Source organism: Homo sapiens, chromosome 15, assembly GCF_000001405.40.
Source record: "Homo sapiens chromosome 15, GRCh38.p14 Primary Assembly".
NCBI classification, from domain to species: Eukaryota; Metazoa; Chordata; class Mammalia; order Primates; family Hominidae; genus Homo; species Homo sapiens.
The window spans coordinates 28378258-28401388 of record NC_000015.10 but is presented as its reverse complement, the minus strand read 5'-3'; the positions used below and the strand labels follow the sequence as shown (position 1 = coordinate 28401388).

At 47.6% G+C, this 23131-nt stretch overlaps 1 protein-coding gene and 1 pseudogene across 3 annotated transcripts; both read right to left on the bottom strand.

Annotated features, from left to right (window-relative positions):
• Positions 1–9367: 9367 nt before the first annotated feature.
• On the bottom strand, positions 9368–22751 carry GOLGA8F (golgin A8 family member F). Of its 3 annotated transcripts, NM_001350920.2 has the most exons (19): positions 22580–22725; positions 20763–20882; positions 20118–20177; positions 19854–19934; positions 18961–18999; positions 18640–18687; positions 18467–18551; positions 18262–18371; positions 17153–17242; positions 16939–17046; positions 16656–16743; positions 16008–16264; positions 15672–15740; positions 14225–14300; positions 13696–13787; positions 13021–13121; positions 12838–12938; positions 12596–12748; positions 9368–12510 (listed from the first exon to the last, which is right to left on the bottom strand). In NM_001350920.2, exons 1-19 carry the CDS (start codon positions 22625–22627, stop codon positions 12326–12328), a joined length of 1911 nt encoding a protein of 636 aa, NP_001337849.2. In that variant the 5' UTR covers positions 22628–22725; the 3' UTR covers positions 9368–12325. The 3 variants fall into 3 exon arrangements, 1 of the variants encoding a protein (NP_001337849.2); NR_033351.2 differs by having other exon boundaries at positions 18640–18999; positions 22580–22751; XR_002957623.2 differs by lacking the exons at positions 9368–12510; positions 12596–12748; positions 13696–13787 and having other exon boundaries at positions 12846–12938; positions 22580–22751.
• RN7SL238P (RNA, 7SL, cytoplasmic 238, pseudogene) lies at positions 13904–14193 on the bottom strand (annotated as a pseudogene).
• Positions 22752–23131: the final 380 nt, after the last annotated feature.

Sequence of the window (23131 nt, the reverse complement as noted above, 5' to 3'; positions counted from 1 at the left end):
TCTTTTCTAAAGTTACTAGCAGTTCTTTAACTGGTTAGCTCTATGTTAGGCATAGGTATTACTTTTTAGGGTGGCAGGTATGTGAAAAAAGAAGGGAGGTGGACAAAACCAAGACAGCAGAAGTAACTATTTGAGGGATTTCAAAACCTTTGACTGACACTCACTTCCTGGGACAGTCTTGATTTTGCTACTCTTTCCTCATCTGTTTCTTTTCAAGCCTTGCTCCCTACACACTTACCCTAGTTCTAACCCTTCCTGCTGATGGGCACCCCATTCACAAGGCAACAGATACCAGATGTGAGGAATGGAAAGAAAAACATTCTTACTTGATTGTTCTTAGGAGTTATACAGTCAGGCTCTTGGTTGGAGGGCTCTGATGTGAAAGCTTGGCTTCAAGTCCACTGAGAAAGTAGTATGATTGAAGTGGTGAACTGGAGATGGGGTGGGGGTGGCCTACCACGAGGACTAATTTGTTCTTTACGTGTTTTTGTTTTTTTATTTTTTTAGACAAAGTCTCACTCTGTCGCCCAGGCTGGAGTGCAGTAGCGCAATCTTGGCTCACTGCAAGCTCCGTCTCCGAGGTTCATGCCATTCTCCTGCCTCAGCCTCCTGAGTAACTAGGACTACAGGCACCTGCCACCACACCTGGCTAATTGTTTGTATTTTTAGTAGAGACGGGGTTTCACACTGTTAGCCAGGATGGTCTCGATCCGCTAACCTCATGATCCACCCGCCTGGCCTCCCAAAGTGCTGGGATTACAGGTGTGAGCCACTGTGCGTGGCCTGTTCTTTATCTAATGGTTTGCAAGGGTGGAAATACCTCTGGGGAAATGTGATGGATTCTCCTAGGAAACTGACTTCACCAAATAATTCTTTTGAAACTGTTCAGAAACGAGACAAATGACATGAATCGATTTACAAAGAGAATTACCTCTGTGTCTGTGACCCAAGAGGCATTCCCATAGTGATACACTTGGACATTTGTTCAGGGGGCAAGCGCTCACGCCGAGTGATTTTCTTTTTTCTTTTCTTTTCTTTTTTTTTTTTTTGTTTGTTTGTTTTTAAGACTGAGTCTCGCTCTGTCGCCCAGGCTGGAGTGCAGTGGTTCGATCTCAGCTCACTGCAAGGTCCCCCTCCCGGGTTCACACCATTCTCCTGCCTCAGCCTCCCCGGTAGCTGGGACTACAGGCGCCCACCACCATGCCCGGCTAATTTTTTGTATTTTTTTTTTTTTTTTTTTTTTTTTTTAGTAGAGACGGGTTTGACCGTGTTAGGCAGGATGGCCTCGATCTCCTGACCTTGTGATTTTCAAAGCTGTTCGAGGGCATTTATCAGGCTTTTAACTCTAGGTACTCTTTCCCACAGTGTGAAGGCCAAGAGAAGGGATCCTGGGCTCTCTTCCCTGGCCCCAGGATGGGAATTCAGGGGGAAAAGGTCACCTATTCTCCTATTCTTATCCCACAAAAGAAAACTTATGCATCAGTTGTCAAGCTAAGGAGCTTCAGAGTCCACAAATAGGGAAATTGCTAAGAGCTTATCAGTAGTGTCCACTACCCATCCCCACCTGGGGTCACGTGGAGAATGATGGTGGGGGCGACGATCTTGTCCTACTTCAGGTGAAAAGCAGGGGTGTGGGGGGGTTTCATTGTGAAGGGCTCCTTTGTTAAAATTCCTTCCAATTCCAGGAAAAACATGCACTCGAAAGCCATTATCTCTTTTACTTCTTACTAGGGAACTTCCAGGAAAGAGACGGGGGGGGGGGTGGGGAAGAAGAGGGCAAAACAGCTGCAGTGAATGTAGTCACCTCTCCGATTGCTTTTCTTGTTGCAGAATATTTCACATGCCAGGATTTTCCTTCTTGTCCTCCGGACTGTTGATACACCCAACATCTTAATACGCTTTCAATCACAAGTTAAAGACATCCAGAGCCAGATTGCTTGAGCCTAGGCGTTCCAGACCGGCCTGGACAACATGGTGAAACCCAGTCATATATATATATATATTTTTTTAGGGGGAAATTTGCTCTTGCTGTCCAGGCTGGAGTGCAGTGGCGAGGTCTCAGCTTGCCAGACCTCCGTCTCCGGGGTTTGGGTGGTTCTCCTGCCAAAGCCTCCCGAGTGGCTGGGATTGCGGTGTGAGCCACCATGCCCGACTAATTCCTTAACTGTGCAACTACAAGGTCACTAAACAAATAAACTCAAGTCACAAAACATATTTTTCCTTAAATAGTAAAAAATAATATAATGCATGTTTCAATTAAATAACAATCTTTGTTTCTCGCTTCTATAATATGCTTCTCCCTGCACAGATCTCCCCCTTCGCCCCACATAATGCTTGAAAGGTAACTCTTGGTTCAGTGCTCAATCCTTTAAATGTTAATCCGACTGGGCCGGTGCACCTAAATAATTAATAAATGTCCTCCTAAACCCCATGAGTCTATCTAATTCCTTAAAAATCCCTCTACAGGACTGCAGGTGTGAGCCACTGCACCCCGCCTAATTTATTAATCAGAGAGGAATAGATCGGCCTGGCGTGGTGGCTCACGCTTGTGATCCAGGGACTTTGGATGATGGAGCACTGGGGATCACTTGAGCCTAGGAGATCCAGACTGGCCTGGGCAACATGGTGGAACTCGGTCTCTCTCTTTTTTTTGTTTTTTTGGAGGCAGAGTTTTGCTCTTGTTGCCCAGGCTGGAGTGCAGTGGTGCAGTCTCGGCTCCCTGCCACCTCCACCTCTTGGGTTTGGGTGGTTCTCCTGCCTCAGCCTCCCTAGTGGCTGAGATTGCAGGTGTGAGCCACCATGCCCGGCTAATTTTTTTTTTTTTGGTACACACAGGGTTTCTCCCTGTTGGTCAGGCTGGTCTCAAACTCAGGACCTCAGGTTATCCACCTGCCTTGGCTTCCGGGGATGCTGGGATTGCAGGCGTGAGCCAGCGCGCAAGGCCCAATTGATTAATCAGAAAAGAATAGATCAGCCTGGCGTGGTGGTTCACGCTTGTGATCCCAGGACGTCGGACGGCCGAGCGCTGGGGATCACTTGAGCCTAGGAGTTCCACACCGGCTTGGGCAACATGGTGAAACCCGGTCTCTCTTTTTTTTGGCGGGGGGGGGGGGGGGGTACAGGCAGGGTTTCTCCATATTCATCAGGCTGGTCTCAAACTCCCGACCTCAGGTTATCTGCCCGCCTCCTCGGCCTCTGGGGATGCTGGGATTGCAGGCGTGAGCCAGCGCGCCCGGTCCAGTTTATTAATCATAAAGGACTAGATCGGCCTGGCATGGTGGCTCACACTTGTGATCCCAGGAATTTGGACGGCAAGCGCGGCGGATCGCTTGAGCCTAGGAGTTCCAGACCTGCCTGGGTAACATGGTGAAACCTGGTCACTTTTTGTTTGTTTTGAGGCGGAGATTCGCTCTTGTTGCCCAGGCTGGAGTGCAGTGGTGAGGTCTTGGCTCAACGGGCCTCCGCCTCCAGGGTTTGGGTGGTTCTCCTGCCACAGCCTCCCGAGTGGCTGGGATTGCACGCGTGAGCCACCATGCCCAGCTCATTTTGTTTTTTGTTTGTTTTTGTTTTTATTGTTTTTATTGTTGGAGATGGGGTTTCTCCATGTTCATAAGGCTGGTCTCAAACTTCCCACTTCAGGTTATCCGCCCGCCTCGGCGTCCGGAGGTGGTGGGATTGCAAGCGTGAGCCAGCGCGCAAGGCCTAATCTATAAATCAGAAAGGAATAGGGCCGGGGATCCCTTGAGCCTAGGAATTCCAGACAGGCCGGGGCAACACGGTGAAACCCGCTCTCTTTTTTTTTTTTTTTTTTTTTTTTTTTTTTTTTTTTTGCGGCAGTTTCACTCTTGTTGCCCGGTTGGAGTGCAGTGGCGCGGTCTCAGCTCCCCGCGGCCTCCGCTTCCGGGATTTGGGTGGTTCTCCTGCCTCAGCTTACCAAGTGGCTGAGATTGCAGGCATGAGCCAACATGCCCGGCTCTTTTTGTATTTTTTTTTTTGGTATAGACGGGGTTTCTCCCTTCGTCAGGGTAGTCTCAAACTCCTGACCTCAGATTACGCGTCTGCTTCGGCCTCCCGGGGTGGTGGGATTGCAGGCGTGAGCCACCATGCCCAGCTTATTTTTTTTTCTTTTTTGGTAGAGACGGGTTTCTCCATGTTGGTCAGGCTGGTCTCAAACTCCCGACCTCAGGTGATCCGCCCGCCTCGGCCTCCCAGGGTGGTGGGGTTGCAGGAGGGAGCCACCGCGCCGGGCGCAATTTATTAATCAGAAAGGAACAGATGGGCCTGGCGTGGCGGCTCATGCTTGTGATCCCAGGACTTCCGATGGCCGAGCGCGGCGGATCCCTTGAGCCTAGGAGTTACACGCCGGCCTGGGCAACATGGTGAAACTCAGTCTCTCTCTCTCTCTCTTTTTTTTTTTTTTGAGAGGGAGTTTCACTCTTGTTGCCCAGGCTGGAGTGCAGTGGCAGGGTCTCAGCTCCCCGCAGCCTCAGCCTCCCGGGTTTGGGTGGTTCTCCTGGCTCAGCCTCCCGAGTGGCTGGGATTGCAAGCGTGAGCCACCATGCCCTGCTAATTTTTTTTTTTTTTTTTTTTTTTTTTTTTTTTGGTAGAGATGGGGTTTCTCCATGTTACTCAGGCTGGCCTCAATCTGACCTCAGGTTATCCGCCCGCCTCAGCCTCCCGGGGTGCTGGGATCGCAGGCGTGAACCACCGCAACCGGCCCAATTTTTAATCAGACAGGAATAGATCGGCCTGGCGTCATGGCTCATGCTTGTGATCCTAGGATTTTGGACGGCTGAGTGTGGCAAATCGCTTGAGCCTAGGAGATCCAGACCCGCTTGGGCAACATGGTGAAACCTGTTTTTTTTTTTTGAGACGGAGTTTCCCTCTTGTTGCCCAGGCTGGAGTGCAGTGGCGCGGTCTCGGCTCGCCGGGCCTCCGCCTCCCGGGTTTGGGTGATTCTCCTGCTTCAGCCTCCTGAGTGGCTGGGATCAAGGGCGTGAGCCACCAAGCCTGGCTACTTTTATTTATTTATTTATTTATTTATTTATTTATTTATTTATTTAGGTTGAGATGGGGTTTCTCCATGTTGGTCGGGCTGGTCTCCTGCTCCTCACCTGGGGAGATCCGCCGGCCTCGGCCTCCAGGGGTGGTGCGATTGCAGGCGTGAGTCACTGTGCCTGGCCGGAAACCCAGTCCCTTAACGGAAAAACAAAACAAAAACCACAAAGATTAGCCAGACCTGGTGGGCCCCCCTGGGTAGTCCCAGCTACTCTGAAGGCTGATGCAGGAGGATTGCTTGAGCCCGGGGTGGAGGTGGCAGTGAGCCATGATGGCGCTGCTGCAGTCCAGACTGGGTGACAGAGCAGGACTGTGTCTCAGGAAAAGGGAAAGGAAAAAAAGAATAATAAAAAGAAGTATATAAAATTGCTAAATCCAGGAACAGCTTCACAGTATATTGAGAGAAATAGAGGCAAAGGTTAGCAGACACCAATGTTCACTTAGTGGAACTGCAGGTGTCCCCAGACAGGAGGCTGCTACTTTTCCAACAGAAATCTATTATTGACCAAAAAAAGTTAGTTTGTTACAATATACAAATAGCTAAACTTTATATAGCCACGACCCTCTTCTAGCACTGCTCTAAGCCTTTTCCTGCTCTGGAATAGCTACTATTGTTACCTCCATTGTAGAGAAAACAGATGGGGGAGGTTGTTGTGGAAGGACCAGGGAAACTGACTATGAAATTGACTTGTAAGTTTAGGACTTAAAGGTTCTTCCTGCTTTGCTCCTTACATTGCCACATTTTAGTTAACATACCTCTTAAAATACTGGTCCTTTCTGTATTTGGAGGGACTCCTCTTGCAGTTTGAAGTTTTTTCTTACACTAAGCATCTGGTTAGAAGATCATCTCCATTTTATGTCAGTTTAAGTTTAGACATTGTTCAGTAAGGAATGTAAATATGAGCAAACAGTTATCTGATTGAAATAGATAAACTAGAAAAAAAATCACCTATGAGAAAGTCAACAAAATGTCAACTCTGGATTTGTGGCTATTTTCAGAATATTAATTTTTTGATATTTAATGGCATTGTGAATATATTTATTTTTAAGAATTCCTTGTCTTCTACAGATACATATAAGGTAATTAAAAATGATAGGATGTATAGGTTTTACTTCAAAATAATTCAGAGGAAGAAGGAATGTATATAAATGAAGTGGGAATATAAATGAAACAAAACTGGCTGTGGCCAGGTGTGGTGGCTCACGCCTGTAGTCTCAGCACTTTGGGAGACCGAGGCAGGTGGATCACCTGAGGTCAGGAGTTCAAGACCAGCCTGGCCAACGTGGTGAAACACCATCTCTACTAAAAATACAACAATTAGCCGGATGTGGTGCCGGGTGCCTGTAATCCCAGCTACTCGGGAAGCTGAGGCAGGAGAATCGCTTGAACCTGGGAGGTGGAAGTTGCAGTGAGCCAAGATCATGCCACTGCACTCCAGCCTGGGCAACCACAGCAAAATCCCACCTTTAAAAACAAACAAACAAACAAAAAACAACCAAAAAAAAAAACTGTCCATACCATGAATGAAAAATTGTTGATGATGTGTATATGTAGGGCAATTATATCATTTATTATATATAATATATATATTATTTTTCTCAACTTTTTTTTACATCTGAAACTTTCTATTGAACACATGGACATGTCCCTTGATAACTGGGGCTGCTTCCCCATTATTCTCTCAGCAGCCCTTCTGATTTTCACTCCATCTTCATTCTTAGAGATTCTGGATTTTATTTTTTTTTTTTTTGGGAAGTTCAAGTATGTCTTTGCAAGGATTATCGAGCATGTCTACCTACTCAATCATATTATCAGAAACAGAAAAAGTGTCCAGATTCTTGTCTTGTCCTGTTCAGATTTTTTAAATTCCAAGAACAGTCACCTTCTACCAGACACTCTGATGTTGGAAGACAAAGCATATTTGGTAAGTGGCGTGATTTCTGGGCTCCGATTTAGAACAGTCACAGCTTTCAACAATCCAAAAATAGCTGACTGTGACTCACCATATTTAGAAAGATGGAGATTATTAAAAAAAGAAAACCTTAATTTATCATGTGACCTCTAAGTATCTCGGCTGAAAATTGTAAAGATAGAAAGGTAAATCAAAAGATACAGAGACTGTAATCATGCACTTAATAAAGCGCTAAATCAAAATATATTTGGCATATGTGAAAGAGTTTAATTTTATCCCATTTTCTACTGGCACTATAGGTATTTGTAAGTACATATAAAACTACAGTGTTACATATAAACTACCAAAAAAGAACTTAAGAAACGAGACTAATCTAGCAACTTTATTTAAAAGTTTATCTTAAGGGAATAATTAAGGATGTCCATACAAAAGGATTTAGCCATGACACGAGAATGTTCTTCCTGGCAAATCAATGGAAATTATTAAATGTGCAAAAGGGAACTGTTGGAATAAATTCTAATGCCTTCATATGATCGTATGTCGTAACCTTTTAAAATGATATTAAAGAGTTGCATACATTGACTTAAACAGATATTCATAACACATCACTGAATAGGAGAAATACGGGCCAGCAAAGAACATAGAGTTGGTCCAATTTCTACAAAAAAAAGAAGACTAATAGCATGACGGCAGGGAAGGGGGAATATGTCAATGTATGTGTGTATATATATGTATGCATAGCAAGTATGAACTTGAAAGGATATATATCAAATTGTTTACACAGATTACCTCAGAGAGGTAAATAACTGGCCTTTGGTGTTCTGTGTTCCATAGATTCTGAATTTTCTTTTTTTATTTAAATAGAGATGGGATCTTAGCCAGGAGCAGTGGCTCACACCTGTAATCCCAGCACTTTGGGAGGCTGAGGAGGGCGGATTGCTTAAGGCCAGGAGTTGAAGACCAATCTGGCCAACATGGCAAAACTCTGTCTCTACTAAAAATCCAAAAATTAGCCAGGCGCAGTGGCTTATGCCTATAACCCCAGGTACTCGGGAGGCTGAGGCATAAGAATTGCTTGAACCAGGAGGCGGAGGTTGCAGTGAGCAGAGATTGCACCACTGCACTCCAGCTTAGGCAACAGACCGAGACTCTGTCAAAAAATAAAAACAAAACAAAACACCACCACCAACAACAAAACAGTAATAAAGAGAAAATCTTATGGACAGGAGCAATGTCTCATGCCTGTAACCCCAGTGCTTTGGGAGGCCAAGATGGGAGAATCGCTTGAGCCCAGGAGTTCAAGACCAGCATGGGCAACATAGCAAGACCTTTTCTCTACAAAAAATTTAAAAATTAGCCAGGCATAGTAGTGCATGCTTATACTCCCAGCTACCTGGGAGGCTGAGGTGGGAGGATCACTTGAGCATGAGAGTTGGAGGTTGCAGTGAACTGTGATCACACCACTGGGAAGCCATGACCCCATCCCTGCCTTCTTCCTCTGTCCTATGCTAGCAATAAGTAAGTTTCCCAGCCACAAATAATTATTAGAACCTCCTCCCCATGTGCCACCTCCAACCACCGCTAGGTATGATACAGGGGTGGCCCTACCCTCTGGAATATACAAAACCTTACACAGACACAATATATACACCGGGGAAGGGGGGCCACCCCAGCAGCCCATGCCTTCGCCTGGTCCACAGTTAGCCCCACTGTCCTGCCTCAGCTACCTCTCTGAATAAGAAGATTGGAGCCCCCACTGAGGGAAAAGTTGCTATGGTGAGAGTAAGGAGGCCATGAGGCCTCCTCCAAACAAACCAACTCCACCAGCCTCTGGCTCTTAAATAACAATATCTTCCAGAAATTTAAGGACTCAGCTCTGGTCAAGGTGGCAAAGGGTCTGTTTGTCTTTCCTCGTTAGACAGAGGTCTTGTCCTGCTACCCTAATTGTAAAGGGGTGACTGGGAAGGGGAGATAGGGACAGTGTGGTGGTGGAGACCCCAGCCCCACTTCTCCAGGCTTTGCTGACAGGGGCCTGCTTTTAATTTTAATTTTTATTTTTATCCCATGCCTTTTTTTTTAAATCCCATAACTTCTTTTTCATAACTTTTTTTGGTAACTTTTCATAAAACTTTCTTCTACTTTTTGGTCACAAGATTTTTTTGCCACAACTTTTTTACATTTTTTATCCCATAACTTTTTCACCCCATAACTTTTGTTAATCCCATAACTTTTTTATTTTGTGTTCTTTTAATAAACCCTTGCATAGTTATATTACAATTTTGTAAAAATGAAACATTATCTCATGCCAAGCATGCTCAGCATTTGCACAGTATCAATACCTTTAATACTATATTTTTGAAGACACACAGAATAAAATTTTAAGGCAAAAACAGCACTTTGCAACAACTTAATAATTTATTACATTACAGTAGCATCACACCAGCAGTCAATAATGCCACTTTAGGCAAAAGTCTTTCAGTATTTCCGTTTTACATTCCGCTTACAAGAATTCATAAATTGGTAAAATTCATTCTAAGAAAACTTGGCAAATAAAGCTTTGGACTGGAATTGGCATTTCTTTCTCTACTTTTCCTTCCCACCGTTTATTTCCTTTACAGTATTCATATTTTAAAATGTTTTAACTTATTTCAGAACATTAAGATAGCAGTTACATTGTTTAATAGTTATTTTAAAATGACTGTTTCAGATAAAGTTTTAGAGAAACTATAGTATGGATAGGGCTGATTTACATTTTCAAATTTTCTAAAAATCAGCTTTGGTTTTAGAGCTGATTTTTGTTCATTTCTGGAAAACCTATCAGATTTAATCCAATACTTTAAAAATGATTATTATATATTGCAATCTTTAAATCGGTGATTTGATTCTTCCTACAGAAATTCAAATTTATTGAATTGAACTCACATTTTAGAATTCTGTTTCTGATGAACTCTAACCTTCCAATGTTGCCCTCTAAGCAAATTGAAAGCTGCCTTATACCGAATGAGGAAGAATACCAATACTTGGCTGAATGAGGTATCGCAAAAGACTGCATGCACTTTGAAGAAAGACTTAAGTTATAGTCATGCGATTTCCATTCTTTTTAGCTTTTTCTTAAATATACGACAAATATCTACACAAAGAGTGGTATTTCCGTTAATACAGTCAATTTATTTTCCAGATTGACATTCAGCTTAAATATGCCAGTATGTGATTTAATCCACAGGCACCTGATGAACACATTATTGTCAGATTGGTTACAGATGCTCGTAGTTGTCTTTAAACTGAACTCAAAGAATGCAAAAACATCAAGTTCAGAAAATAAAAGGCAAGGACAGGACTTTAAGTGCATTTTAAAGCCACGGGCGAGAAATCGTACCACTGTTAACTAGCCGCATTATTTGGTCTAACATTTTTTCTTTATCATTCTGAAACTGGGTTTATCTAATACATTGATACATTCATACAATTTGGAAGAGTCCGTTGAAGTCACAAGGACCCGATGTTTGCACTCTTTCAGTGATTGCCGGCAAATCTGTTATTCCATCGGCAAAATCGTACTGCTGCTCTCCTGTTAATGTCGTATTTATAAAAGTATCATGAGGATGCCAAATGCTAAAAATGGAGATGGTCTAGTAACTAGAAATCCCCACCCCAGGGAGCACACATACATATCTCCCTACATCCTAATAATGTGATGTGTTTTGGAACACAGACATTAGAACTTCATGAAGTTTTAACTGTTGAGTCTTTCCCAAGCATCATCAAGTTATGATTTAGGCAATGTACAACTGAAATTCATTCATTCATCATGCATAGGCACAATCACATAAATACTGCACAAAATATGCCCGTAAGTGAAACCCAGAGGTACAGAAACACATTTCACTCTTCACAAAGAAGTTTGTGAGGAAATATAACTCTGTGATTGTATAGACATGTTTCCTGATAATACACTGACATTCACCAACAGTAGATTGCACTGCAGTTTGTACACATTTTAAGTTGCATAAACTTCTCCTTGATTTTCAAAGATAGTATAATACTGTCTACTAAAACTCCTTTTTGTTTCAACTAAGCACTCTCACATATATTAGTTTATAACAATGTTTATTATTATTTCAAAGTGTTTTCCATTCAAGGAAAAGAAGTCAATTCCTATGTCAAAGTAACCAAGGTGGTTGAAGAATAGGCAGAGTGGTCTAGATGGTAAAATCAATCTTCAAGCCTCAAAGAAGCTCCATGAACAGAGGAATGCCAGGTGTCACACAGCTTTCCTTCACTCTAATTCATTCTTGACTAGAGCTTGTATGCCTGTTCCAGGGACATTTGAACTCTTAAAGGATTTCTTATGATCTTTACTAAATACATTAAGAAGAATGCCAACCAGTGCCCTTTTGTGTACTGGGACATGCAGTCATGTGATTAAAACAGGTAACATGAACTCTGACTTTAAAATATAGATACAAATGCTCTAAGCTAGGAAAGGTTTTCCACATCCGTAGTCAATGATGGGAACCTTTCATTCCTCAGAAATAAGCCCTTTTTAGGTCATCAAAAAAGAGTACAACTGCTGAAGCTCATGATGCAATATCTTCATGAGCCCAGAGCACATACAAATCCTAAAGGAACTACAATAGTACAGCACTAATTCTTGGCAACAGAACAAATGAAACACACTCTATCTTGCACATACCTGCCAGAGCAGGCAACTTTCCTCTTCTGTGAAATTTAAAAAGCTCCCCCAAAATGTTATTACTCCCATCACCAATACACAGAAAATGAGGGAAAGGCTGTTTCCAGTTCTCGGCCTTTAAACAACTCTAAATGTCAGTACTCTTGGTGGCATATTACAAAGTATTAAATAGTGCACACTTGGGGCAAACCACATATTGTGCTAATGAAGAGCTCACTGTGATTAAGATTAGATCAAACAACAGCAGAACATAGGCACATTTTATCTGAATTCTGTAATGAATATACATGCTGCAATAACATTAAAAACACATGGCAGCCTATTCCAAACCAGCAAGAATAGTTTTGTGCAAATAGTGGGTCTTTGTGTGTTTGAACTCCCACCACGTAAGGGCAAACTCAATATGCATGCTAATGACCTACAATTATGAAATTGAAAAAGAAAATTGCGAAAGTATGCCAGAGTGAACATCAGTGAAAGCCACAGAGACCCACTCTCTTTTAACTATTTACAAATGAACTTAAACTATAAATTAGAAACACAAATAATCATAAGTGGCTATAACATTCAAATGAAGTAAATGAATTGTGTAGGAGATTAACCCCATAACTTTGTTTCTTTTTTAAAAATTTCTTCAGCAGCTCTTTGACGATGGTGATGTTTATCTCCTTCTTCTTGGCAGCCAAGCCCAGCAAAAGAATGGCACACAGCAGTTGCTGCCCAAGCCTGGGTGCTCCTGGTGGTCCTGCACGATCGGCTGTGCAGTAGGGTTGTCGTGGGGAGAACCCTCCCTGGCCTCTCCTTGCACAGGCTCCACGCTGTCAGTGAGGCTCACCTCACAAAGATCTTTGGAGAGAGGGAGGCGGGGATCTGAGCTCAGTGAGAGCCCCCCTGCTCCTGCCTGCCCACCCCGCCTGAGGGCTCTACTCACCACCATGCTTGTGGGCAGCCCCAAGCTCCTGGGGGGCTGGGGCTCCTGGACTGGGCTCATGAGCAGGGTTCTGGGCAGTCACCAAGAATTTGCTGTGTCCCTTGTAGTCGCCACCAGCTGCAACACCATCTCCTGCAGCTCCAGCAGCTTCACCTGGAGGGAGGGGTGCTCAGCTGTCACGCTGCTGCCAGCGCTCACCGTCACAGCCACCCCCACCCCCGCAGAGATGTTGCACACTCTACCTTCATCTCCTCCCTGTCCAGGGCCAGCCTGATGGTGTCCTCCTCCCGGTGCTGCATCTTTGGCACTGCCCCCTGGCTTTGTTATAGGGTGATAAACTTTCCTGCGGGAGGACAGGGCTCAGACGCTGGGGCCCCTCCAACAGCCCTGCAGCTCCCCCTGCCATGCCCTGGCCTCCCACTCACTGATGGCATCTCTCTCTGTAGTACTGGAAGAATCCAAGTTCTTCTTTCTCCACCAGCTCACTCAGGTCTGCCTTCTCCTCCAGGTGGTCCATAAAGCCGCTCTGGAGCCAAAATAATGGGGTCACATCTCGCCAGCGACCTGCCCTCAGGTGGCATTTTCAAGTCATGGAGAAGGCGGAGGTGAGTTCCGGCATGGGCCAGCTTCTCCGTGACTTCCTGCAGGGCCCGGTGGGTCTCCCCACTCACAGACTCGCCCCCAGGCCCTGGGGCTCCAGGGCCTCTGGCTGCCTCTGGCTCCTTCTGGGCCGAGGCCACCGGGTGAGCCAGGCGCTGGCAGCACACCCTCTGCTCTTTCACCTGCTCTTGTAACTGTGCCTGCTTCTCCTGGGCACTAGCTCCAGCGGACTTGAAAAATGCCACCTGAGGGCAAGATGTGAGCATTCTTGCAGGGGCATACACAGAACAAATGGGGCAGAGAGGTGGAGCGCAGCCCCTTCCCTTGGGGCCCCAGAGACTGCACATGTTGGTCACAGGTGAAATGGTGTCTGACCACTGGCTCCCAGAAGGGGTGAGGGTCCAGAGAAATCAGAAGGCAGGGAAACGAAGAGCATAAAGGGGTCTTGGAGGGACCACAGAGGAAGGAGGCAAAATGGGTTCAGGTGGAGTCAGGCTCACCATGGCCTCCCTGCTCTCCAGGTCCTGTGGGATGCTAGGAATGGGCCGAGGTGCCTCCTCCCCCTCACTGTCCAGATGTCCTCCTCCATCTCCTGGGGGTGGGGGTGGTGGCCAGAGGGGTCCTCAGACAACTCAACAAGGGAAGTATTGTGGGCCCACCTCTGCCTCCACCCTCATTGTGTAACCCTGAGCCAGGCCCTCCCCAGAGAGGAATGAGCTGCTGTTATTTATTTTTACTTTGAAGAACCAAGATCTTGCTATACTGCCCAGGCACATTCCCACTACTGGTCGGTGCGGGAGTTCTGACCTGCTCCCTTTCTGACCTCGGCCAGTTCAGCCATCCTTAGGCAACTTGGTGGCCCCCCGCTCACAGGAGGTCACCATATTGATGCTGAACTTAGTGCAGGCACCCGGTTAGTATAATGACCAGCTGTTCTAAAGGTCTCTTCCAACTCCTCAATCCTATGCTGCTAGCAGTCCCCCCTTCCTCCTGGGGCTCTCTCCTCTTCCTCTGAGCGGTCTCCCGTACCTTCCCCAGGGAGAGCCATGAGGCTCAACTGGGCCGTTAGCTGCTGTTTCTGCTGGCTCGCAGCTTCCAGACGCTCCTAAGGGGCCAGGAAAGAGTGAGAAGGCACAGAGTTTGCCAGGTCGTCCCCCTCACAGCCCCATCCTCGGCAGCTCCCTCCCCTGGGTCTCCTGCAACTTTTGGCAGGCCATCTCGGCCACCGCTTTGCCCCAAGCTTCCTGCTGCTGCAACTGGTTCATTAGCTGGGTCTGCTGCAGTCACTGCCTGTACAGCGCCTCCTTCTCACAGGTCAGCTGCTGATAGGCGGCCACCTGCTGCTGATAGGTGGCCACGTACTGCTGCAGGTGACCCAGGTAATGGTCTGGCTGCTGCTGCAGACTCTGAGCCTCTTGGCTCTTCAGCTCCACCTGCAGGAAGACCCTGGGTGTGAGGGCACGTGGTGGCTGGTTTGCAGATTCTGGGCCCATTAATAGGGTAGCGAGGGCACTGTGGGGCTCTGTCGCCTGCCCAGGCCCCTGGCCCCTTACTTCAGGCCTAAGTGACTGCCTTGCTTTCCTAGAACCCCATGCCTCCTTCCCCAGCCTCAAATCTCATGTCCTCTTCCCACCATTTCAACTGTAGGCCACAGAATGGTAGAAAAGTATGGGAGCCAACCACCATCTGCTAAATGTGCTACAGGCCTAATGCTTCCCATGTATTATCTCATTTAATCCTCAGCACCTCTGTAAGGAAAATGCTAACTTCCTTTTGAAGTTAAAGAAACAGAGACTTAGAGATGCGAAGTACTTGAATGGTGACCAGTGGAACTGAGGCTGGAATCCAGTTTTAATCTAAGGAGTCTTTTTGTTTTGTTTTGAGACAGAGTGTCACTCTGTGGCCCAGGCAGGAGTGCAGTGGTGCAATCTCAGCTCACTGCAACCTCCACCTCCTGGGCTCAAGCAATTCTCGTGCCTCAGCCTCCTGAGTAGGTGGGATTACAGGCATGCGCCACCACCATGCCCCACTAATTTTTCTTTCTTTTTTTGTTTTTTGTTTTTGTAATTTTAGTAGAGATGAGGTTTTACCATGTTGGCCAGGCTGATCTCAAACTCCAAACCTCAAGTGATTCTCCTGCCTCAGCCTCCCAAAGTGTTGGCACTATAGGCGTAAGCCACCGCATCTGGCATAAGAAGACTGTTATACCACTCTGTCTCTTCCCCTGTGATTGGGGGGGCTCCATGTCTCTAGCTGGAATGATGATGTCCAGACCTGGGAGGAGCCCAGGGCTACCCACCTCTAAAATCAGAGGGCAGGAAGCAAGAAACAGCCACAGGACTGCCCTGGAGGGTGCTGGGGTCACCTGCCCCCGGGCTGGAGCTACCGCTGGACTGGCACCTCCCCTCCCCAGAGGCTGGTGCCCACCCACCTCCCAGACCTTCTTGGATGGGGTGGAGGTTACCGTCTCCTTCACCTTGCCTAGCTTCTCCTGCAGCTCCTTTACTTGCTGCTCCAACTGTAGTACGCTCTTGTTCTCATTGTTCTGGACAGAGAGAAGCAATCAGCAGCCACCCACTGCAGCTGGAGACCCCAGAACTTGGTGACTGCCTCCCATGGCACCGGGAAGGGTGGAGGCAGGTTAGAAAAATCATCCCCTGTCTCCCACAGCCACCAGAGCAGGGCTCTGGCTCACAGGTGCCTTTAGGAGTAACATTTCACTTGAGGGCTACACTGCCCCATTTTATAGGTGGGGAAACAAAGGCCTGGAGGGCTAGGGAGGAGGGCAGGCTCCCCAGCTGGGGCAACGCACCAGCTCCTTGAAGCTGTTCTGTGGCTCGGCCAGCTGCTGAAGCCTCTCCTCCTGCTCTGGAAGCCTCTCCTGCTGCTCCTGAAGCCTCTCCTCCTGCTCCCGAAGCCTCTCCTTTTGCCCCTCATTCAGGAGACTTATGCGCTGATTGTACTCCACCTGGGCCTGGAGCTCTCCTGCCACTCTCTCTAGTTCCTTCCTCAGGTGCTGCAGCTCCACCTCAGAGGGCACTGCTGGGGGCTCCGGGGGCAGAGGTTCAGCTGAGAAAGGAAGCAGACAATAAGAGCCTCTGGATTCCAAAAAAAAAAAAAAAAAAAGAAAAGAAAAGAAAAAACCCTCCTCTTGGCGCACAGCTCCTCTCCGGCTCCTCAAACTTAGCCTCACTGCTAATGATTCCTCGCACCCAGATGGTAGCCAGTCTTCCAAAGCACTTTCAGAGAAAGAGCACTGCGGGTGGCTGACAACGGGCCCTCTTTGCTGATGGGGACACTGAGGCTCATTGAGATGACAAGACTTGCCGTCTCCTGGCACAGACCTCTTTCCCTCTGCCTCAAAGCCCTTCCATCCACCCACCTCGCTGGGGCACTCCAAGCCACCCTCACAGCCCTCTGATGCCAGTCCTGCTGCCAGGTCACGCCAGCCCCATCTTACCCATCTGGTGTTTGAGTTTGGACAAGCTCCTCTCCAGCTTCTCTACCCGATATTTATCATGCTTCTTCTCCTTCTTCAACGAGCAAACCTGCCCAAAGCACAGGGGGAAAGGGCCCTGGAGAGAGGGGCTGGAGGCTGGACATGCTACCATCTCCCTCTCTGCCCCCACCTCCACAAAGCCCAGTCCCAGGACCACCTCTGGCTCTACTATTCCCATTTTACAGGTGCCCAGAAAGATCCAGTGACCTATCTAATGTGGGGGGGCTGAAGGGTCAGATCTCACCTCCTGCGACATTTTTCTCATCCTCTGCTGCCACCGGGCCCTCTCTCCTTTTAGATGTTCAGCATATTCATCCCTCTCTAGCTGGACTTCTTTAAGTGACTCCTTCAACTGCAAGAATGGGCACAGAAATTAGGAAGGGCTGTCACTGGTCCTCACCTGCTCCTGGTTACCTGGGGTCATCTTTCTTCCACATCCCTCCTTCTGAACACCTCACCTGTGTCAGCTGCGCTTTCAGCAGTGCCTGCTCCCGCATGGACTGCTCTAACTTCCACTCCATACGTGCTTTACTGCGGCTGGAGAACTGCTGAAGAGTGAGAAGTTTCAATCTGGTGAGGCCGGGCCATTCCACACAGTGCCCCTTAAAAGGGCCAGGGCTAGGCCCAATATACAACTCGGTCAGTAAAGATCAAGGCATTTCCAAGCCCGTGGTTTGGTTTTTAAAGAACTCAGTAAAGTTGGAAGGGACAGGGAAAGAGATCGAATTTATAGCTGGCTAACAGAGGCCCAGAGAGATCAGATAATATTGCTATTGTTATTACTGTTATTATTACCACTGTTTGAACTTTTATGGAGTGCTTCACCAGATACCATGCTAGCAATCCCATTTAATCCTCGCAACCACCATGGGAGACAGTTACTATGATGACCTCTATTGTGTAGATGAAAAAACATGGAGTATTTGAGGTTAAGTGCTTGCCTAAGATCACTTAGGCAGAGCTGGGATTTAAACACCCAGATCTATCCAATTCTCTAAGCCCATTTTTCTTGCTGGGGGTGGGGGCACAGCTAGGAAGGGGAAAATTAATCTTTTGTTCACTTTTTGAAAGGATAATACATTCACATAGTCCCAAACTCAGAAGGTACAGAAGGGAAGTATCTCCCAGCCACCCTGTTGCTCTCTCCTGAGTTTTTATGAACACTTGCAAACATATTTTATGTATATTATCATAATATGTACACACACACACACGTTTCCTCTCTCTACAGAAATGGTAACATACTAAAGGTACTCTTCTGTACCTTCACAGTACAAGTACCCAATACCCACTGAGGACTTGGCCAAGACCACAGCCAGGTAAAGGCATGGCAGGCACTTGGCCTCCAAGCTCTACGTCCTGTGCTCTCTCCCCAGAGTGCCCCCCAACTCACCCACAGCAGCTGACTCAGTCCCAAGCTGCCGCTAACAACCATACAAAAAAGCAGTGAGAAATGGCCATGCTGCCTTCTGGGCAGGACACTCCATCCTGCAGAAGGGACCTTTAGGCTCACTCCTCTGTCTGCGAAGCCAGGCTCCCAGGGGACGGGGCAGGTGGTTGGACTCACCCTCTCCGCCTTCTTCTTCTGTGTGGCGGTGACAGCAGAGAGAGCCCGCTCTAACTCTCCTTTACGCTGCAATGAATGTTGCAGACGGACGGCCAGATCCTTGGACTCTTCTGTAATGAGAGAGTTGAGATGGGGCCCAAAGGACTCCCCCTGAAGACCTGTCAAAGTGCCAGGTTGAAGGATGACAGGGTACCCAGATTCCCACCTTCAAAGTATCTGAGAGAACGTTTCGTGTGGTACAGGTCCGTATTTAGTTTCCCTTTCTGTATGTTCAATCTCTGGATTTGAACCTTTGGGAGAAAAGCCAAGCAAGTGCTGAAAGAGAAGGAAAGAAACATTCTCCGGAGGACAGGAGAAAACTGCACACCGTCCACTCACCTCTAGCTCCCTTTCGGCTTTCTGTTTCTCGTTGTTTGCTTTCTTTTCCTGTAGGAAGAGGAAGACAGAGATCTAACCAGGCAGAGGCAGAGATGGTACTGCAAGAGACATGTCCCCAGAATGCCACCACTGCCCCTGCCCCGGGACAGGCCCACCCATGGGACCGGGTTATCAGGGACCCTGTGGGGGATGGGGTGGACTCTGGGGGGTGAGCCTTCTTCCCCAGGCTGGGAGTGGGTGAGACGAGACTCGGGGCCTCTACATCTGAGTGTCCCCCAAACCGAGCAGTCATGTCGCGAGCAAACAAAGAAATCATGTTACTTCTTCCAGCTGATGTTCCACTTGTTTATTCTGTTGTTTCTGTGGGGAGAGTCACATTAAGGTGATGGAGGGTGGCCCCCTCAACTCTATTCCCCAGAGCAGGAAGTGGTAGGCAGGGGCCAGGAATGGATTTTAAAGGCAAAGTTCTCAGACCCAGTGGGAACTCGAACTGGTAAACTCTCCTCAAGCTCCCAAGGACAGAGGATTTGGGTCTTTGTTGGCTTTTGTCCACAGCCACAGAACTCAAGGTCTGAATCTGGAATCTCTTGACAGGACAGTAACATAAACCTCTAGAGATGGAGTTTGAGAAAGGCCCCCCCTTCTGCCAGCTTGTGATTTAGAAAAGTGCATTCATTCAATAAACATTTACTGAGCACGTACGGGCCAAGTACGGTTCTTCACAGAAGATTTAGGGCGGAAAAGGACAGACAGGAGCCTTTGGCCCTGAGGTTTCCATTCTAGGAGGCCTTTAAATCTCAGACTCGAGAGCTAACAGAGACCTTTGATACTCACTACTTCCTCTGGAAACATGAGCCCAAAAAGGAGAGGTGGCTTGTCCAGAATCAAAGAGCAAATTAGGGACTGAGTCATGGCAGAAATACGGGGCCCCTGACAACTAGTCAGGCTAGCACTTCCCCAAGAGGCAACAATCCCAGGGCGTGTGTAGCAAGGACTCGAGCAGGGGCGTCTGGAGAGGGGAGAGTCAGCAAACAGGGCAGCAAAAAAAGAGCCATGCTGCATGCTCCGGGGTCCCTCCAGGTGAGGCCTGGGCGCCCCAGCTCCCTATTCGCCCTTGGCACCAGGGGCCGCCGTCCCCTTTCTTCAGGGCCCCAAGGGGAAACTAGAGCCCAGGATTGGCAGCGTGGAATCAGGGGACCCCAGTGGACTCTTACCAAAGATTTGATGGTGTTCTTCAGTTGACTGACTTTTACGGACCTCGAGTCTGGGACTACTGCTAGTTCTTGGCACGGGCTCTGAGGCGCATGCAGAGAGGAGGAGGTGGAGGAGGAGTGGGGGGAGAGGTAGAGAGAGCAATCATTAGGGCTGGGGTGTGTGTGGACTGTCTCAGCTGGCAGAGGGGCACCCCGTCCCACCTGGAGGAGGAGGTTGGAGGGCTGGCCTGCAGGGTCACTGCACCTCTGCCCAGAGCCTCTTACCTCCAGATCCTTCAGGGTAGCAGATGATGTAGGGCTCTCCCCGTGGATACCTGTTGCTGACTACAAGAGATGAGAGTGCACATGAAGATGTTCTGTCCCACTCAGTATCTAAGCCCTCTGACTTCTTTTCTTCCCCATCAACTGGCACAATTTTCTTTTCTGCCTATCTTGGACCCTTTGTCCCATAACTCCTTTGTGCCAACTTCTCTCATGGTTCTTATCTCCCCACCACAGCACCCTGTGGCCCTTTCAGTGACTCCTGTGCCAAGTGACTGTTCTCATTGTCCTGGCTTCCCCTTGAGACTGGGGATGAGGAAAATCGAACAGCAATGACCATATCCTGGGTGTTCTGGGTGTTTACAGCAGGCCATGTACTAGGGATTAACATAAAAACAACAATAACAAATCTCATTTAAACTTCACAAATGGAAGTGAAACAATACCACCTCTATTATACAGATGTGAAAAGAGAGGCCCGATGAGGTCTAGCAACTTGCCCTAATTCATATCCCTAGCAGACAAAGAGGCAGGATTCAAACCCAGAATTCTTCACAGGTACCCAACAGTCCATCCACAATCTTAACAATTACCCTCTAGTGCCCCTTGGGTCCCCTGTCCCCAGGAACCTAGTCAGCCAAGACTCACATCTCCAGGTGAGTGGCAACCACCAGAAGTGGCTGTCTCATGGATGCTGCCATTTGTTTTCCTGTTCCTCTTGGCTCCTGCTGGAACACCAGGGCTGTTTCTCTGCCAATATTCTTTTAACTGTCAGAAACAAGAGCAGTAATACTCATGAGAACTATCAGCCCCTGCAGCCACATCCTCCTTTACAGTTTTTATAAAATACTCTTATACACCATCTGATTTAATGATACCAACAACTGTACAAGGTGTTGTCACAATCATTTAGTGACTCAAAGAGATTGATATCATGGCTAGAAAAAAAAAGAAGAAAAGAAAAAGGCGACAGACGAACTTTGAAACTCAGTCTTCTGACTCCAAACTCTGGGGTTTTACCAAGAATCAGCAGCTGCCAGGGACCAAAACCAGAGGCAGAGGTAGAAAAGTAAACATTAAGTAGGCAGGAACTGTATGCCATGTGGTTTAGTCATACATCCTCACACGTCTGTTAGTGTGAAGAAGTGCACCAGTACCTCTCAAACTCTTATATCAATGTGTCCTCATGGCAGAAGGCAGCCTTTCTGTTAAATCTGGGAATTTATCAGAAAGAGGACAACCCAAGCCTCATTTCAGAGAGAAGTCTGGTATACTCTTAGAAACCTATGTGACTGTCATCCCTAAGTACATTAATGTTTTTTCTCTTGATCTCAAGAGAATCAATGGAAACTGATGCTTCAGAAAGATGTCCCATATGTATCCTGTGGCACTCAAAGTACCCCAGGTTTACATAATATGAGGAAGATTCAAGCTGTCAAGTTCAGTTTCCCAAGATCTATTCCAGAGAAGATGAGCAAATCTCACTTCACAGACCACTGGCTGAAGGGCAGTCTGGTCCCAGAACCATGGAGAATTAGAATGTGAGGTGGAGAACTCACAAAAAATTTGTTAAAATCTCTCTGGAAAGTAGAAGCCTGGGAGAAAACCAAACCAAGTCAAACCCATTCTCCAGTTGCCATCCAGAGGTACTGTCAATGTTTTGAGCTCACAGGGGAAGTGTAGGCTTTTCCCGCTGTCAATGTTTATGCTAAGGGAGTGAGGCAGCCTGAAACCTCTTGCTCCTAGGTCCCAATCTCCATTCCCCTTCCAGCTGGAAATTTGTGCTGTGACAAGAGGAACCAGAAATGGGGTGGCAATGCTTAGGGGACTGGGTCATAAGATCAAAGGCCAGTCTTGCAGTAATGACAGTTACTGGATGGACCGTGACATCACTACATTCCACTCTTCCTGGTGAGGGGGAGGGACCACATCAGCATGATGTCCGAGTCACCGCTCCATGATAGGGGAGGGAAAAACAGAGCTGGGACCCAGGTCCTTGGAGACACCAGTGCACACAGCCTAGGGAGGTCCACCTTGAGGCAGCAGGAGGGAAGGGAAGAGTCAGCAGCAGGGAGCCCCAGGATTCACCAGCCTAAAGTCACCCAGGGATGACTGGTGAGGGTGGGGTCTGGGGCTGTGGGACCCAGGTCCTTGGAGATGTGAGCCCAAAAAGCCCTGGGAGGTCAAGCTTGGGGTGGCAGGAGATGAGGGCCCAGTAAAGGAGCGGGGAGCCCCAGGATTCACCTGCCCAAAGTCACCCTGGGGTGATTGGTGAGGGCAGAGACTGGGCTGCTTGCTGAAGGGGTGGGGCTGACTGACAAAACTTTGGTGGGGGTAGCCCAGAGGCACCGGTGTGGGGGTCCCAGTCCGGTGAACCTCGGGAGTGGTATGGACTCTGGCAGCAGTCTTGTCGTTGGAGAGGATCTATGGCTGGGTTGGGGGTCCGTGACCTGGTGTGTTTTTACCTTTCTCTTGGCTGCTGCCAATTTACTTTGTCGAGTTTCTTCTGCCATCGCAGGGTGGGGAGGGAGGCGGGCTTGGGGCCACATCAGCAAAATCCCACCAAGCACTGATCAACACCTCCAGTCACCTACCAGGTAGCTGTGCGACTGAGCCAGAGGAGGCGTAACCAGGGATGCAGTAGAAGGCAGAATAGGGGCGTGGCCTTAATGCTCCAAGCCCATTGGTTAATGAGAAAGATGAAAGGGAAAGGGGGCGTGGCCAGGCATCATGTGTCCAGAGGGACCTTTGGCTCACAAGGAAAGCTGCCCATGCAACCACTGTCCCCACCCACTCTAAGAGAGGGGAGAGGCCGCCAACTCTGGGAGAGGGGCAGGGCCGGCTTTTGCTTTAAAAGCTTTTAAAAAATATATATGTGTATACTTTATATATATGTGTGTCTGTGTGTGTGTACCTGTGTGTTCCTCCAGAGCTGTCTTCATGATCCAGCTTCTATGCAAGGTCTATGATTTTGGCCTATATTTTTCATAGAGTACAAAAATTACCAGTATTACCTT